This window comes from Homo sapiens, chromosome 16, assembly GCF_000001405.40.
Source record: "Homo sapiens chromosome 16, GRCh38.p14 Primary Assembly".
NCBI lineage: Eukaryota > Metazoa > Chordata > Mammalia > Primates > Hominidae > Homo > Homo sapiens.
The window spans coordinates 14241850-14260404 of NC_000016.10; the positions used below are offsets into that span (position 1 = coordinate 14241850).

At 41.4% G+C, this 18555-nt stretch overlaps 1 protein-coding gene across 31 annotated transcripts in view, besides 1 other annotated feature; it reads left to right on the forward strand.

Moving 5' to 3' along the window:
- MRTFB (myocardin related transcription factor B) overlaps positions 1–18555 on the forward strand; it is a 272006-nt gene that overhangs the window by 247076 nt on the left and 6375 nt on the right. For 19 of the 31 annotated variants that reach the window (XM_047434393.1, XM_047434392.1, XM_017023501.3 and 16 more), the window contains 6 exons: positions 3679–3811; positions 4624–5658; positions 7077–7232; positions 10013–10174; positions 10516–10653; positions 16252–16312. In XM_047434393.1, the coding sequence (XP_047290349.1) occupies positions 3679–3811; positions 4624–5658; positions 7077–7232; positions 10013–10174; positions 10516–10653; positions 16252–16312 (1685 nt within the window). The remainder of the gene's footprint in view (positions 1–3678; positions 3812–4623; positions 5659–7076; positions 7233–10012; positions 10175–10515; positions 10654–16251; positions 16313–18555) is intronic. The other 12 variants (XM_047434402.1, XM_006720914.3, NM_014048.4 and 9 more) reach the window with 3 other exon arrangements.
- Positions 3310–4509: an enhancer, noted in NCBI's record as "BRD4-independent group 4 enhancer chr16:14339016-14340215 (GRCh37/hg19 assembly coordinates)". NCBI's record gives its function as "activates an origin of replication core promoter dependent on BRD2, P300/CBP, MED14 and CDK7 cofactors, and independent of BRD4, by STARR-seq in HCT116 cells {active_cell/tissue: HCT116}" and the evidence as "EXISTENCE:reporter gene assay evidence [ECO:0000049][PMID:35650434]".

Sequence of the window (18555 nt, forward strand, 5' to 3'; positions counted from 1 at the left end):
GGGGATACCAAAGAGAATTGGAAGAGAATCACAGACAAGCTGCTGCTACTTTGCAGCTTTGTCCAGGCCTTAGGGAGGCCTCCTCCACTGCCATCCTCCTTTGGCATTGGGCACCAATAATAATAATAATAATAATAATAATAATAATAATAATAATAATAATGGTAATGATGTCTCACAGTTACTACTTACAATGCGTTGTGCTTAAAACCGTGCATCATCCTCATCCTCGCCTCAAGTCTAGGAGGAATTGCTGTTATTGACCCCATTCCCAGATGAGGACGCTGTTATAAAAAAAAATCCTTTGGGATTTTCACCTTATCTTTGAAACAGTCTTTTCTGTAATGAAAGAATTTGGCTGTGCGACTGGCTTTGTAGATAGGAAGAATCCATCAGAGGTGTGGGCTTGCTGAACTGTTACCAGTTCTTTGTCTTTCCATTAAGGCTTCAATTCCCCTCTCCTCCTCAGACATTCAGCACCTCTACAATAACCAAGCTCACCCAAGAATAGTATCATACAAAAAGACCCAGGATATTAGAAGGAGAAAGAACACTTATTTTTGTGTATTATTTAACCACAAAAAGAATATAAGTCCTGTTCAATTTCCAGATCCTAAAAATGGAGGCCTTGTTTCCTAACGCATTGTTTATATTTATCAAAATTCCATTACAAGAAACTGAATGTGGAAGTCATAGAGTGCCCATAGTGGTGGGAGTTTACCTGAATCATGTAGCCCTTTGCCACCACAAAGGAGCAAGCGCCCAAAGGGACTAGGCTTTAGTCCAGCCCAGCTTGTCTGCACAATGGGAGGTCACTGGAGGTCCCCGAAGGCCACTGCATCCCTCTGAACGCAGGTCTCTCATCTGCCGATCACATTCGTTAGCAACCTCTCTCTTTTTTCTCCCCTCTATTGATTTGGGAGAAAAATAGATTAACATGTTTCTGTTATTTTAAAGATTGAGTAAAATACCAAACTGTTCATTTTAATAGGTAGAGTATTATAGAATCTCAACAGGAAAAAAAAAACATCCTGAGTAGAATAATTACATTCATTTTCAAGGGGGTAATACCACTCACAAGGAAGCAAAAGGTGGCTCAGCAGGGAGACTACTCTTACGTAATAAAGCACAGACTTACCTGCGGTCCATAAACACATGCTTTATCTCTGTGGTGTTGAAACTTCATGGGGAGAGAGATGTGGAGAAAAATGTCTAAAAGGCTCTTTCGGGGGACAATAATGAATGAAAATAAGGTGGAGAAACACTGATTTAAAGAAAATGTTTTCATAACTCTGAGATTTTACAGTTGAATTTTTATAAAGGATAATAATGATGCATAAAATATTTGCCACTTCATCCAATGATAAGAAACTTCATCCCAAAGATTTCAATTATTTAACTTCAACAAAATTCAGCCAGGTTTTAGAAGACCCCAAAATGAATGTCAAGAGTTAGCTAGTGACAAAGCCAGCATTGGCTTCAACCACAGGCTTCCCAGAACTCTTCAGAGAAAGCTCACCCAACTATGGCTGTCACCCCGTAGGCACTGTCACCTCAAATCCCTGTTTCAGAATGTGGAATTCCAAGTCTCTTGGCTTCAGCACCAAGGCTTTGTGTGATAATAAAGCCTGAAGCTGCAATGGAATCGGCTGTACGGTAGCAACCATCCAGAAAGGAAACACCACTGTTACCAAGAGTATCACAGTTGGAAGATGTTAGGTGGGGATCTCGTTTTAATACTGAAAGTTTAGGGAAATTAGTACAAAGCACCTAACTGTAGTAGAATTTGACAAGTGATGCACCAACTTCTTTTAAGTAAGCTTTTTAAATTGAAGTATAACTTACACACAGAAAAGTACGTAAATTATAAGTGAAAATTGATGCAAAAATAAATACACTCCTGTATCCAATACCCAAACCAAGAACATTTTCAGTACCCCAAAAGCCCCCTTTGTCTCCCTTTTCCATGATCATCCTGACTTCTATCCCCAGAGATTAGTTTTGCCTGTTTTGGGTTTTTTTTTTTTTGAGACAGAGTCTCACTCTGTCGCCCAGGCTGGAGTGCAGTGGTGCAATCTCGGCTCACTGCAAGCTCTGCCTCTCGGGTTCACACCACCTCCAGGGTTCACGCCATTCTCCTGCCTCAGCCTCCCGAGTAGCTGGGGCTACAGGCGCCCGCCACCACGCCTGGCTAATTTTTTGTATTTTTAAGTAGAGACGGGGTTTCACCGTGTTAGCCAGGATGGTCTCGATCTCCTGACCTCATGATCTGCCCGCTTCAGCCTCCCAAAGTGCAGTTTTGCCTGTTTTTGAACTTCATATACACGCAATCTTACAGTACACCTACGTGCATCTTTGTTGGTGCTGATAGCAGTTCATTTTTGTTGTTGTTGTTTAATATTTCGTGACTGACTATAACATAATTTAGCCATCCAGCTTACTCTTGATGCGTAGTTGGGTTGCTTCCAGTTGGGGCTATTAGGAATAACCCCACAGTAAATAGTCTGTGTCTTTTGGCATACATACATGTGTCTTTCTGTTAGATGTCTTATCTAGGAATGGAATTGTGGGATCATAGGATAGGCAGATGTTTTCCTTTAGTACTACGAAAGAAAAGTTTCAAAGAAAAGATGTTTTTCTTTAGTACAGTTTTGCAAAGTAGTTGCATCATTCACAGCTCTGCCAGCAGTGTGTGATTGTTCTGGTTGTCCCAGGTACTTGGTATCAGTCTTACTCATTATATCAATTCCACTGAAAATGCAGGGCTATTCTGTTGTGATTTGCAATTTCCACATACCTAATGAGGTTGAATCATCTTTCACTTATTTATTGACCATTGGGATATACATTCTTGTGATACATCTGAGATTTTTCCCCCCACTTTTCCACTGGGTTTTCTGTCTCTTTCTTACTGATTTTAAAGACCTTTTTATATACTCTAGATATGAGGTCTTTGTCAGAAATATGTATTACAGATATGTTGTCCTGCACTGTGGCTTGACTTTTCACTGTCTTAAAGATGTCCCTTTTACTTAGTGCTTTTTATGTGCTGTTTAAGAAATCTTTGTCTACCCAAAGGCCATGAAGATACTATCCTGAGTGTTTTTCTGAAAGCTTTATTTTCATAATTCACATGTAGATTTTGGGAACAAGGTGAGATGGGGCCAGTCAAGAGCCATGTTTTTTTCTGTGTGAATTTCCAACGTAGCATGGCACCATTGAAGTCCCGCCCTCTCTCCACTACATCACAGTGTCCTCTTTTTGGTAACTCAAGGGTCCGGGTATGCAGAGGGCCGTTTCTGGATTTGCTGGGGCTCTCTCATTTGCCTGTTGTTCTGTCCCTGTATCAGCAACATCACACATTAATTACGTGTTGATGTCTGGTGGTGTGACTCTTCCAGCTTTGCTTTTCTTCAAGGATTCATGGCCATTCTTGGTCCTTTGCATTTCCATATAAAGCTTAGAATCGCCTTCTAAATTTCCGTCACGCTAGCAAACAAACAAAACCTGCAGGGATTTCATTGAGATCTAATGTAATTGGCATCTTTACAATATTCAGCCTTCCAATCCATAACCATGGTATTTTTCTCTTCATAAGTTAGTCAAATTGTTAATAGAAGCAATGTCAAATCTAGAAATTATTTTATTATAAACTCTAATTTTTGTTTTCTTTTGAAGGCCACTCAATGACAAAAATAGTAACAGTGGGAATTCAGCTTTGAACAATGCCACACCTAACACACCAAGACAGAATACATCTACTCCTGTGAGAAAGCCAGGACCTCTGCCTTCTAGCCTGGATGACTTAAAGGTGACAATTGCAACTGGAGCTTATTCACCCCTAAGTACCACAAACATGTAAATGATTTGCCAGCGTTGTCTAGCAGACATTAAGTAGTTTTCAGTAGACATTCAACTTTACCAACAATATGATAATCTTTATAAAAGGTATTTTCTTTTTACTTCCACTAAGTTTTCTTGTAAAACAACCAATAACTGTCATTTACTGAGTGTGTACCTTGTGCAGGCACCTACCAGTTCTGCTGGATTCCAGAGGCTGTGATTTTTTTCTTCCCTGCTCAATGCCAAGTTTGGGAAAAGCAGGAAAATGTAACAGTTAAGAATATGAGCTCTAGGGCCAGCCTTTTTAGGTTTCTACCACAGCTCAGCCTTCTATTATCTGTGGTACCTTCAGTGAGTGCTTCAGCCTCTCTCTTCTTTGCCTCCCGATCTGTAAAATGGGAAGAATAATGATACGGACACCTCATGGGGTCGTGTGAAGATGAGTGGAAAGAGTAGAGCATTTCCAAAAGTGTCTTGCACAAGGCAACTACTCAATAAATGCAGCTGTATCATCATCATAATTCCTGGTAGTATCTCTCTGCTTTGACGTAAAAGCGGAATTACCCTCTAAAAACCCTTACCGTATCACTGGCTCCTCAAGTGCTTCTAGTCTGTAGTTATCTGTTTCTGTGTGCTTAAATATAAAACCAGTTCTACTTTCAGGTGTGCCGTAACGCAGAGTTGTCTGACAGACATAGGCACCTTTCCCATCACAAAAGCGTACTGTAGATTTGCCAGAAAGCTCTAATACTAAGATATCTGCTTTGTTTGTACCTCCAGGTATCAGAACTGAAGACAGAACTGAAGTTAAGGGGTCTGCCAGTGTCAGGCACCAAACCGGACCTCATTGAGCGCCTAAAACCCTACCAGGAAGTGAACAGCAGCGGCCTTGCTGCTGGGGGCATCGTGGCAGTGTCATCATCAGCCATTGTCACCAGTAACCCAGAAGTCACTGTGGCCTTGCCGGTTACAACACTACACAACACTGTGACTAGCTCAGTCTCTACTCTCAAGGCAGAATTGCCACCTACAGGAACCAGCAACGCAACCCGTGTGGAAAATGTTCATTCCCCTCTGCCCATTTCACCATCTCCCTCCGAACAGTCCAGTCTCAGTACTGATGACACAAACATGGCAGACACTTTCACCGAGATTATGACCATGATGTCGCCTTCACAGTTCTTGAGTTCATCTCCTTTGAGAATGACAAATAATGAAGACAGTCTGAGTCCCACCAGCAGCACTCTGTCAAACCTGGAACTGGATGCAGCCGAAAAGGATCGCAAGCTTCAGGAGAAAGAGAAGCAAATCGAAGAGCTGAAGAGGAAACTGGAACAAGAGCAGAAGCTCGTGGAAGTGCTGAAAATGCAACTTGAGGTTGAAAAACGAGGGCAGCAGCAGCGGCCCCTGGAAGCCCAGCCCAGTGCCCCAGGTCATTCTGTCAAGTCAGATCAGAAGCACGGCAGCCTTGGCTCCTCCATCAAAGATGAGGCCTCACTCCCTGACTGCTCCAGCTCCAGGCAGCCCATCCCAGTAGCCAGCCACGCTGTAGGCCAGCCCGTCTCTACAGGTGGCCAGACCCTTGTTGCCAAAAAGGCTGTAGTTATCAAGCAAGAGGTCCCTGTGGGCCAGGCAGAGCAGCAGAGTGTCGTCTCGCAGTTTTATGTGAGTTCCCAGGGACAGCCACCGCCTGCTGTTGTTGCTCAGCCCCAGGCTTTACTGACCACGCAGACTGCTCAGCTGCTGCTCCCAGTGTCCATCCAGGGCTCGAGTGTCACCTCAGTGCAACTCCCTGTAGGCAGCCTCAAACTCCAGGTGTGAAGTGTGTCTTCTAACTACTTTGCCTTACAGCATGCATGGAATGCAAACCCTGCTAAGGAAGGCACCATACCTGAGCTCTTCCATAAATGCGTCCAGAGCAGACCCCACGGAGAAAACGTATGCATGTGTGAGAGGGTTATTCAGAAATCTGAATATCTAGCACTGTTTTTATATAGTGAAAAAAACACAGGATGCTTTTCTAGTCCTGTTACCTTTTCCCTTGAATGAACACAGTATCATCCATGCAGACATTTTTTTACACACCAGTGACGTGATCATTGTGATCATAGTCTGCCGCTGAGCACTTTCTGGCAAGGCACAGCATCTAGTACTTTAAATGGCCGGCTTCACTTAATCCTCCCTTCTCCTAGAAGATCTAAGTGATACCACCCATCTCTGGATAAGGACGCTGAGGCCTAGGAGTACTCAGGGAGTTCCCCCAAGGATGGAGCTGGCATTTAAACCCAGGTGTTCTGCCCGCAGAGCCTTTATTCTTATGCCCATTCTTATATTCTGCCTCCCACATTTAGTTCTTGAAAGTCACTGCTTATATGAAGATGTCTAAACTAAGGAAAACATGACCACAAATTTAGGAGTGAGGATGTAATTGAAAGAGATGAGAAAACACTGATGAGCATGAAATTCCCTTTTGTGCGTACATAACCTATGTATTTACCGTGTCATGCAGTTTTGGTAAGTTTTCACCAAACATGGAGCACGAGTGAACAAGAAACCATTTGAAGCAGTGCTCCTCAGCCTCGACACCCAAATACCTGAAACAGGCGAGAGGAATCATCTCGTACCCCTGTGGTTAGGAGGCAGGGCCCACAGACCCTTTGGCAGATGCAAAAATTCTGATTCCTCTGTTTTATCTTTAGGGTATCTGTGAAATTGAAAGTCTATTCCATAATAAATCCTTAAATTTTTTGGTCCAAATCTTCCATTGCTGTAGTAGAAACGAGAACCGTGTTTTTATCCTTGGGTCTGAGGGCGCCCTGGCCCCATTGCTGGCTCTCCCTAGGGAATGCACACACCGCTTGCAAGCAGCAATTGGGACAGTTAGGTCTCACGAGTTGCCTTGCTGTTATTCAAGTATTACAGTACCTGAGCTATTATGTGTAGAACTGCCTTAGGTTCTTATTATTTCCATTTCCATTTTCTCAAAATTTTCAAATGAAAAATCTTAGCTACTTAGGAATAATAAGAGCATGCAGTGACTGGTCTGATGTTTCCCTCTCTGGTTTAGAATCATTAAAGTTCAGATTTCTGTGCAGATGAAGTGTGTATCTGTAACCTTGGTCTTATTTCATTTAGATACAATCCCCAAGTGACCAGTGATTCTACACCTAAGTTCTGATTTCTAACTTTGATTCTGACAATTAAATTGATGTTTTTTTCAATTCACCTCCTAGACTTCACCACAAGCAGGAATGCAGACTCAGCCTCAGATAGCAACTGCTGCACAAATACCAACTGCTGCCTTGGCCTCAGGCTTGGCCCCAACTGTACCTCAGACACAAGACACGTTCCCGCAGCATGTGCTCAGTCAGCCTCAACAAGTCAGAAAGGTTTGTAAATGCCAAGGAGCAATAGAATGTCGCTGATTTTTACCATCCTCCGATCATCCATTCAACAAGCATCTTTGTAAACGCCCTGGGAAGTTCCTGTTCATTCTTTTCTGTGATCCATCTCCCATAGAATGAGCCTTAGGTCAGATGCCATTTGGCTGCAGATTTCCCAGTTATTTGGAATGGAGAAAGACCTTTTCATTACTGAAAGATAGCTCGCCTTCGCAGTTAACCCCTTTTCCAAGGGAAAGTTTCAAAAGTATTTGTTTTCAATCCTCATATATTAAATTTACTGAATTTTAAAATAAATGTTTTCAAATTAAACATACTGTGGAAAAAAAGATATGCTGTTCCCTTGGAAAAGGTATTTGAAGATGAAAAAGATACTCCCAAAATGTTTATGCTGAGTAAGATCTTGAAATACATTTGTAAGACTTTGCCATCTCAGATTAAGAGCCCAGAAGGTCTTATCAATTCCAGTTCACCATTGCCTAGGTGTTTGGCCTCATGCAGAATTCACTTACCTTCTCTGAGAGTCAGTTACCTCATCTTTAAAATGAAGTTGGTGGTCTAGGATTCAGTGTCCTCTACACAAATAACTACCAAAAAAATTCTCCCGCATTCCCCGGTAGCCAGTAGGTGGAGCTATGTGCACATCTCCTTGCCAGAAAAATCTTATGCCTCAAAAATAGGTCTTACTCTTTTAAACCTTGAAAATTATTAATCCCAGAGTTTTACTCTTCAACATGAAAGAACCCAGGTAATGAGTTGTGCCTGTGATCTGCCTCAGGATAGTGTGAACTGTCTGGGTGAAACCAGCTTTGGGGACAGCTGCAGTCACATGTAACACGTGTGCTGCTTCAGAATCTCCTCTGCGAGAGGAATCATGGTTGTATGTTACTGAGTTTGGGGAAAGCTCGAAATACCATTTTAGTGTAATTAAAAGCTTAGTAAATGTTCCAATGTTAAGACAATTTGTTTTAGGGAGGAAAGGAAAAAATAATATGTAGATAGGATAAATAAGGGCTTTTTCACTAAGTCTGTAAACACTAGAATTAGGAATCATTACTTCTAGTTTAAAGGAAGTAATTTTTTACCAAATTTAAGGAAAATTAATTTTTTCAAATAGGAGTATATTTACAGAACTCATCACCATGGAGATTGTACTGTTTGAGGTATATACACATAGACTTTCCTGCTTATGAAATACAGAGGTTTTTTAGAATATTAGTGGTATAGAACGTGTTAAGTATTTTTGAGCAAACCAAGTTCTATGAAATACAGTTACAATATCAGCAGTATGGCCACATATTTGTAAAAGACCCTAAAACTTGTGGCTCTTGATGGAGGTGCTAAACAAAACATTTTGGAGTTCCACAGCAAGAAGTTCTCACCTTTGCCTGTTGGAACAGAAAACAGCCTCTCCAAAGGGGACCAGTTTTACATGGGGCCTTGCTTGTATTTGAAGACATTTTCAAGAAACTGGAAAATTGAGTGTGACCACAGCAGGTTGAGGTTTTAGGTAGGATGGAAAGGGGGCCAGGTAGTAAGAAGCTTACATGCCAGCCAAAGATTAGGGTTTTACCCAAATCAGGAGAGCCAAGGAGTGTGGTAGGGGCCATGCCTTGAGAACACGTTGTGGCAGGGGGTCTATGCCGCAAGGCTGCTGCAGAATCCCTGTGATAGATAGTGAAGGCCAGGCGCAGGACAGCAGAGAGCAGAGGCAGATTCAAGCGGCGTCGCTGAGATGTGTGAACACTGAGGGAGAAAGCAGAGTTGACTGATAGTCCTATTTACCTAAGTTTTAAAAAAAGCAGAACCAAGAATTATTTTCCCTCAGAAGCTGAGAGGCAGGGGGTAATGGGAAAAAGGAGAAAAATCGTTTGGAATATTTTAAATTTGAGATACCTAAGATGATGATGTAAGTGGCTTTGACGCCTGGGAGCAAGGTTGGAAGTAGAGCAGTGGCTTGGGATTATTAGCTTAGTCATGGCCATTGAAGACTTGAGAGTAGGCCGGGCGCGGTGGCTCAAGCCTGTAATCCCAGCACTTTGGGAGGCCGAGGCGGGTGGATCACGAGGTCAGGAGATTGAGACCATCCTGGCTAACAACAGTGAAACCCCGTCTCTACTAAAAATACAAAAAATTAGTTGGGTGTGGTGGCGGGCGCCTGTAGTCCCAGCTACTTGGGAGGCTGAGGCAGGAGAATGGCGTGAACCTGGGAGGCGGAGCTTGCAGTGAGCCGAGATCGCACCACTGCACTCCAGCCTGGGTGACACAGCAAGACTCCGTCTCAAAAAAAAAAAAAAAAAAAAAAAGACTTGAGAGTAGATGAGCCCACCTTAGAGAGGAATAGAAGAAATTCAGCTATCATTTAAGAGGAGAATTATAAAGAGCAAGCACTGTTTTTCCACAAAGCTCTGTCTGTACCACCATCAAAGGCAAGTTACTGCGTAAAGGGACCACATATGCTCGAAAATAGGGGTAAGCAAACCCTGGCCTGTGGGCCAAATCTAACCCACCACCTGTTTGTATGGATAAAGTTTTATTGGCACACAGCCACACCCATTTATCCATGTACTGTCTGTGGCTGCTTTCAGGCTGCAATGGCAGAGCCAAGTGGTAACAACAGAGGCCAGGTGACCCACAAATCATAAGCTATATACTCTGCAGCCCTTTACAGAAAAAGTTTGCTGACCCCTGTCCTAAAACATGGTTTTCTTTACTTCATTAAGAAAAGCCAAAGAACAAATTAATGGAGAAACATTTATTCATTACAGGTTTTCACAAACTCAGCATCATCAAATACAGTTCTTCCATATCAGAGACATCCTGCCCCAGCTGTCCAGCAGCCCTTTATCAATAAGGCCTCCAACAGTGTTCTTCAATCCAGAAATGCTCCGCTTCCATCCCTGCAAAATGGACCTAACACACCCAACAAGGTAACCCTGTGAGGCTTGTGTGTCAGTGACAGTGCCGCAGGGGCATCAAATCATTCCAAAGCCTAGTGCTTTGGGCTTGGAGTGACTAATGTTAATGGGATAAAATTGTTGAAAATACAGTGATAACTTGTGAAGGAGGAGCTCAGCTATTATCACAGTGAAGATGATCGTTCGCACATAAGGTGGCCACCAGTGCTGTCAGCCTCACAGGTGCTTAAAAGAACCTGCTCATGAATTCCCTGATTTGGCCACTACATAGAGAACAGCAGAGCCGAGTCTAGCCAGGAAAAGAGAGGTTTATTGCCAAGAGGTAATGTGCACTCCTCCTTTATTTGACACAGCCTAGTTCACCCCCGCCACCCCAGCAATTTGTCGTCCAGCACTCTCTATTTGGGAGTCCAGTCGCCAAGACAAAAGATCCCCCCCGCTATGAGGAGGCCATCAAGCAGACACGCAGCACACAGGCCCCTCTGCCAGAGGTAAGTGAGGGCACGGTCATGGTGCATAAGGCTATGGTGGATGTGCCCACGTTCAGTCTCGAGCAGACCTATACAGAATCCCTTGTCTGAAACTGACTTGCCTCAATAGAAATACAAAAATAACCTTGTATTTTACATGGTTATTTAAAATCAAAATGTCATTTATCATGAAGACCTTAAACAGCTTTCAGCAGCAGTATAACTGCATTTACTGTTTATTCAGAAATTAAGGGTTTATCTCTTAACTTTTCTTTTGGGGTAGGGGCATCAGTCATGTTAGAGATAGATGTGATTATGACCAGGACACATTTTATACAGGTCCCTTCTTTTCTAAAGCCACCATGTGTCAGGCCAGCATCAAAATGACACATGGTATCACTGTTACACCTGGCTGACATTCAAGGCCACCAGCACCTAAATTGACTTGGTCTCTCTCTGGTCTCCAGCAACCTCTGCCCCCAGCAGGCCAGCCCATCCAAATGACTTTGCTCATACACTGAGCAAATGCACTTGGAGGTAACAGATCTGAGGTTCTCCTGGTTTCACCACACATGGTGACCATGTGGCCTCTGAGCCTTCCTTGTTTGACTGATAAAACAGAAGTAGCCCCAACCATACCAAGCAATGGAAGAAGTTAGGGTTCCTATTTGTAAAAGCATATGGCCCATGGTGGGTGCCCAGTCATGAGAGTACTTGTCATACATTACCCTAAACACTCCTCCAATCTTTCTCTCTAAAGCTTTCTGTCAAAGCTTAAAACTAACCTTTGAGGGAAGAACCCCAGCCTCATAGAGGATTCAAGGAGTGGCCCTGACACCGCTCCATGGGTGCTAAAGGTGGACACCAAGAGACAATATCCAAGCGGTACTGTTTATTATCCACGGCAAACAGCAGGAACATCAGTGCAGTTGTACCAGTTCTCCCGCTCCCGTGTTCCATGGGGTAACTTGTTGGGGCCACATGGTGGCTGTGTATGCAGTGGGTCAAGCTGCACCTAAGGAACGTGGGGCCAAGGGCTCTGTGCTTTTTCTAGCAAGCAGCAAACAAGCCAGTCCCTCACCCAGGGAGTATGCAGTCATGCCTACGCTTCCTTGACCCACTTGGTTGCCTCAGTGAGCATCTACAGAAGCTGCTCAGTCCAGGCGACCTTGTCAGTTTGGCACCCTCACCAAGGACATCCAGGGATGCTCAGGGCCCGTAGGGGGCTGCCTCTTGGAGGAAGTGGAACCTACCACATGCTGCTTTGTATTCCCTGAGTACCGAGGGAACGTAACTTTGAGTTGTAAGATGTCCCTTAGTTACAGACTCAGCAAAGGCCCTTGTCTGTGAGGGAAAAGTCAGATTTCAAAGACGGGTTCAAATATTTGCAATAAGAAGTCAAACAGGTGGTGCTGGACTACACTCCTCCCTCATGGTCCATTCGGAGTGACATCTATTCTCTTCACAGGGGAGCAGAGACGAAGTGAATTGCCAAGAGCTTAACTGCAGTTTTTAAGAAAACAAAAAGATAGTACCCATCCTTTCTAAGTCCTGCTTACTTGATGAATCTTCCACTGTAACCTAAGACAGCTGATTGGAATCTCTGGTATTTACATGTCTCTAGGTTCCTGTTTATAGACTGAGGTTCTACACTGGTTTTTGGTTATTCAAATGAGTAGCCACCTGTAGGTCCTGCTTATATGCCATTGAGCACCAAACTTCGTTTAAATACATTTACTCAGACTTGCAATTCCACGAGTGGCTAAGTAAGGCCCTACCGGTTCAATCTTCCCACAGATAATAGCTATTAATGTGGGTCATAACAAAAAGCAACTACCTGAACGCATTGAAGAGTAAATAGAAGCAGTCATTCTCTGGTGGGGAATCCACACTCAGGAAGGGAGTGATGTGGCATGATTTCCCTCTTTGTGCTGCTTTTACTCTGGGGTCCAGCTAAGTGGCAGGGTTACTGGAGAAAAGCCATAGTCTTTATGGCCTGGAAATCCAGATAACTGAATTGAGAGCAACCAGAGGGAAAAAGCCAGAGAGGAGATCCCCAAATTCTGTGTGCCCACATCTCTGGCTGACCCCTAAGCCATACAGGCGTGGAATGGACGCTTAGCAGCTCAGCTGAAGACAAAAGATCTAAAGTGAGATTGGAACATCTACCCAAGAAACATTTTGAAGTTTTAAGTCTAACCAAGTTAATAGCTTGCTAAAACAATAGAAACCATTCATCTGAGAATAACAGCAGAATTCACAGTTGCCACAATTTAACATCCATAACATTTATCCATAACATGCATCATACAAAGAATTGGGAAAATGTAACCTATCTCAAAGGAAAAAGGCTGAGACCAATCCTGAGCTCATCTCGATGTTAGAACTTGCGGGCAAGGTTTTCAAAGCAACTACTATTACAGCTGTCCTCAGTGATGGAAAAGGAAATATGCTTGTAATAAAAGGGATCCATGTGGATACAGAAATGATTTTTAACAACTAAATGGAAATTTGAGAACTAAAAAAGTACAGTATCTGAAATGAAAAAAATATATAGATGAACTTACCAGAATGGAGATGGCAGGGGAAAAAATGTCATGAACCTGAAGATAGATCATAACTTATCCAATCTGAATAACAGAGATTGTGAAGTGAACACAGCCCAGAATCCTGTTATATAATTCAAACAAAACAGTCTAGCATAGGTAGAAGAGAAGTCCCAGAAGAAGAGAGAAAGAACTGAAGAGGCAAATATTTGAAGAAACAATGGCTGACATGTTCACAAATAGGATGAAAGACAAATTTATAGCTTTGAGATGCTCGATAAACAAGCTGGATAAATCACATCACAGTCAAATTGTTGACAAGACAGAGAAAATCTTAAATGCATCAAGAGAAAAAACACATTTCACACAGAGCAAACAACTAATTGATTAATGTCAACCTTTCATCAAAAACTATGAAAACTGGAAGAGTGCAACAGCACGTTTAGAAGTTTTTAGGGAGGAAGAAGTGGAAGGGATTGTCAACCCAGAATTCTATTATCATGTTAAAATATCCCTTAAGAATGAAAGTGAACTAAAGATATTTTCAGATAAAGAAAAATTGAGTTAGTTCATCACCAAAGATAACACTGTCTTGAGGAGTGTATAGCATGTGTAGACAATACTTAAAATAATTAATAAAGGATGGGGGAGGAAATGAGTGGATCTGTGTGGTTGTAGGATCTCTATGTTTTATTCAGTGTACAACATTAAGTAGCCTATGAGAAGTTAAGGATATGTATTGCATATCTATAGTAACAATTTAAAAGATTCAAGATAGCTTTTAAAAAAAAAAATCAATAGAAAGGCCTGGCATGGCATCTCACGCCTGTAATCTCAACACCTTGGGAGGCGAAGTGGGAGGATTGCTTGAACCTAGGAATTTAAGACCAGCCTGGGCAACATGATAAAACCCCATCATTACAAAAAAGACAAAAATTAGCCAGGTGTGGTGGTGCATACCTGTAGTCCCAGCTACTTGGGAAGCTAAAGTAGGAGTATCACTTGATCTCAGGGGGTTGAGGCTGCAGTGATCTGAGGCTGTGCCACTGCACTCCATCCTGGGTGACAAAGCGAGACTGTCTCAAAAAAAAAAAAAAGAAAGAAAGAAAAATTAGATACAAAAATGTCAAATTTTTTTTTAAGGACAGGAAAGAAAAACAGGATAACAAAAAAAAAAAAAACCCCAGATGGGATGAATAGAAGACAAATATAAAATATAAAATAGTAAACCCAAACTTAACCATGTCAGTAATTATAACACATATGACTAAACAATTCAATTAAAATGCAAAAAATTGTCAGAGTGGATATAAAAGCCAGACTCAACTGTATGCAGTTTTAAGATATGTCTGCAAATTCTTTGACATTCCTCTCTGGGTTGGATTTAGCGACTCACTTCTAACAAACAGAATTGGCAGAGGTGATGGTGTGTGACTCCAGAGACTAAGTCATAAAAGGCATGCCCCTTCTTCCTTGCTCTCCCATGGAGTGCTCACTCTGGAAAAGCCAGCTGTCATGCCATGTGGACATGCCAGCAGCCATCTGGAGAGGCTCACATGGAGGGGCACTGAGGCCTCCCATCAATGGCCAGCACTAACTTGCCAGTCAAGGGCATTCCCCAGCCACACCTAGAGTTGGCGGTAACCTGACCAACATCCTGGCTGCAACCTCATGAAAGACCCGAAGCCAGAACCACCCATCAAAACCATTCCTGACCCACAAAACTGTGACATAATAATTTTAAGCCATTATGTTTTGGAATAATTTATAATATATCAATAGGTAACTAATGCATGTATCTACAAGAGGCATACTTTAAATACAAAGACCACTGAAAGTAAATGGCTGGAAAAAGATAGACCATGCAAACAGACAGCAGAAGAAATCTGCAGTAGCCAGAAGATTTGAACAGATATTTTCCCAAAGAAGATAAATGGATGGCAGATAAGCACTTGAAGAGATGCTCAACATCATTAGTCATTAGGGAAATGCAAATTAAAACCCCTGTGCAATACCGCTACACACCTAATGAAATATCTAAAATTGAAAAGACTGACCCTACAAAGTATTGGTGAGAATGGAGAACAACTAGAAATCTTATACCATATACTGAGGGTGGGAGTGTAAAATGGAACAGTCACTTTGGAAAACAGTTTGGCCATTTCTTCAAAAGTTAAACCTACACCTGTCCTGTGATCCGGTCATTCCACTCCTAATTACCCAAGAGAAGAGAAAACACATGTCTATACAAGGACCTGTACACAAATGTTCACAACAACTTTTTTGTAATAGCCAAAAATTGGAAACCCAAATGTCCATCCACAAGTCAATGAATAAACAAACTGCTGTGTTTCCATACAATGCAATGCTACTCAGCAATAAAAAAATTAACTGTTCCTGAGGTACACACTGTAAGACAGATAAATCTCAGAATAATTATGCTGGGTGAAAGAAGCTAGTCCTTCCCCTACCACCAAGAAACTACACACAGTATGAATCCATTCATATAAAACTAATCTATAGTGAAAGCAAACAGATCCGGGGGTTGCCTACGGATGAGGGGATGAGGGGATGAGGAAACTTTAAGGGCGATGGATATGTTCATTATCTTGATTTTGTTTATGGTTTCATGGGTATATTTATATGTCAAAACATATCAAATTGTATACTTTACATAAGTGCACCTTATTATATGTCAGGTAAATCTCAATAGAACTGAACAAATATGTATAGTGTGATCACCTTTGTACAAATTTTTACCTAAATACAAATGAATAAAGACACTTTTAAAATAAGGTATTAGAGGCCTCTCAAAATGCAATTCAGTGATAGAAAAAAAGGGAAGCATAGAAATCGGTGGAGCTGGGTACTAACTAGCCCTGTTCTTGCTGTGTCAACTAACCAGCTGTACAGCTTGGGTAAATGGCTTAACTTCTCAGGTGACCTCAGTGTTTTCAAAATTATCACGATAGATTAGAACTAAATCATCTAGAAAGTCCCTTAGGACTGCTAATTATATAATGCTTCCAGGTTTGTATGAAAGAAACCTAATTTGTACTCTCCTTCATTGTAGATTTCCAACGCTCACAGTCAGCAGATGGATGACCTCTTTGATATCCTCATTAAGAGTGGAGGTAAGTCAAAAGTCACATCAGATCCTCCCAGGAAGTCATCTCTTAACCCAAGTTCATGAAAGTTTTTCTTAAGCACTCATAGCTTATCTTTAGATACTGAGAAACGTGTTCTTCTAACTGAATTTACTGTTTTAAAATCTGTTAAATTTAGGCCATTAAAAGAACTTATGGCCAGGTGCGGTGGCTCACGTCTATGATCCCAGCACTTTGGGAGTCTGAGCCCAGGAGTTCGAGACCAGCTTGGGAAACATAATGAGACCTCATCTCTACAAAAAATTTTAAAAATTAACAGAGTGTAATGGCACACCCCTGGGGTCCCAGCTACTAGGAAGTTGAGGTAGGAAGATTGCTTGAGCCCAGGAGGTCAAGGCTGCAGTGAACTGTGATAGCTTAAAACAGTAATACAATGTGAGATTTATCCACAGATAGATGCCTGCTAAAAAACAAAGACCAGATAGCAAAGTAGAACCAGATTTAAATTCCATGTTGAATAGCTTCAGAACTTGTTCCATGCGTATGTCATTGTAATGGGATGAAAACATGCCAATACTATCTTAATTATGTTACATCAAGCCACTTAGCATGGGCTCCAGTATCTTTATTAAAATTCAAAGTCAATGCTAAAGCATTTTCTACAATATAATATGAAGTCTTAGATTTATATCATCTTTATTAAAAAGAGACATTAGCCACAAAAAGAATCAAGGATATTGTTGCCTCAGCTTACATATCTTTGAAGTATAAAAATCAATATTTAAAAAAAAATTCCTGGATAGTATTTGCATATTTGGAGTAGTCTTAAAATTACCCTGATGAAAGGAGTTTTATTTGAATTTTCAAATAGTGGTCAGAAGTTCTCCATTTATAGCAGGTATTATTTGACACTGAAGTTGACGTTGACATAGAGAATTGATATTTGACTACAGATCTACACACACAAATAGTATTTTTTGCTAAGAATTATATTGGCCTTACAAAAATAACTTCAGCCGGCCAACCCCCGTGGCTTATGCCTATAATCCCAGCACTTTGGGAGCCCGAGGCAGGTGGATCACTTGAGGTCAGGAGTTCAAGACCAGCCTGGCCAACATGGTGAAACCCCCGTCTCTACTAAAAATACAAAAATTAGCAAAAATTAGCCGGGTGTGGTGGCAGGCACCTTAAACTTGGAAATTAAAATGTGACACAATCAAGCTATTTTCTAAAATGAGATTTTTTTTAATGACAAAGTATCCAGTAAGTATATTATTTCATCTTGTCTACTAATATCAGTAATAACGAGAACCAAGTTTTATATAGTTACAAGACTAGTTACTTGTGACACCGTGCCTTGCCCTGCCTGTAATCCCAGCACTTTGGGAGGCCACGGCAAGCGGATCACCTGAGGTCAGGAGTTCAAGACCAGCCTGGCCAACATGGTGAAACTAAAAATACAACAATTAGCTGGGCATGGTGGAGGGCACCTGTAATCCAGCCACCCAGGAGGCTGAGAGGCAGGAGCATCACCAGAACCCAGGAAGTGGAGGCTGCAATGAGCTGAGATCATGCCACCGCACTCCAGCCAGGCTTGGCAACAGTGCAAGACTCCGTCTCAAAAAAATAAAAATAATAAAAATAAAAAAGACTAGTTACTTAGATGACACTTAAAGCTTTCAAAACAGTTTTAGAGATGACTACTGATAATTAAAAGTAACAAACCATTCAAAAATAAATGCAGTACACACAGTTGACAATTCATTTATAGGAATCAAATTTTAAGTTCCTTCTCTCAGCCATTTGCACATAGCAATCATTGAGCTTTAAGAGGTATTGTTAATTTATTTTTCCTAGTGTATCTGCATATAAATGAAACCAATCATAGCCTCATAAAACTTAAGATACTTCATTCATTTATGTAGTTTAGTGAACGCCAGTATTTATAGAAGATGGTCTGTTAATTTGCTGCCTGATCTGGCAAGGAATAACACATAATGAAGACATTTACCAAATCATCAAAATTTTATATAAGCTCAGAAAACAAGACCAAAAAGTGAAAGAGATAACCAAGTGATCCACCTCACCTTAAAAGAAAAGGATCAAAGGAACCATATGTTAGCTTTAATTCAGAAATGAAATCAAATGTCATTGTATATTTTCAGAACTTTACACAGAATGCACATGGCTAAATTGGGTACCCAGTCCAACTGTAATGATAAAAAAAAAAAAAAGGAAAAAAGAATGTAATTACCTCTTTCATAACATTG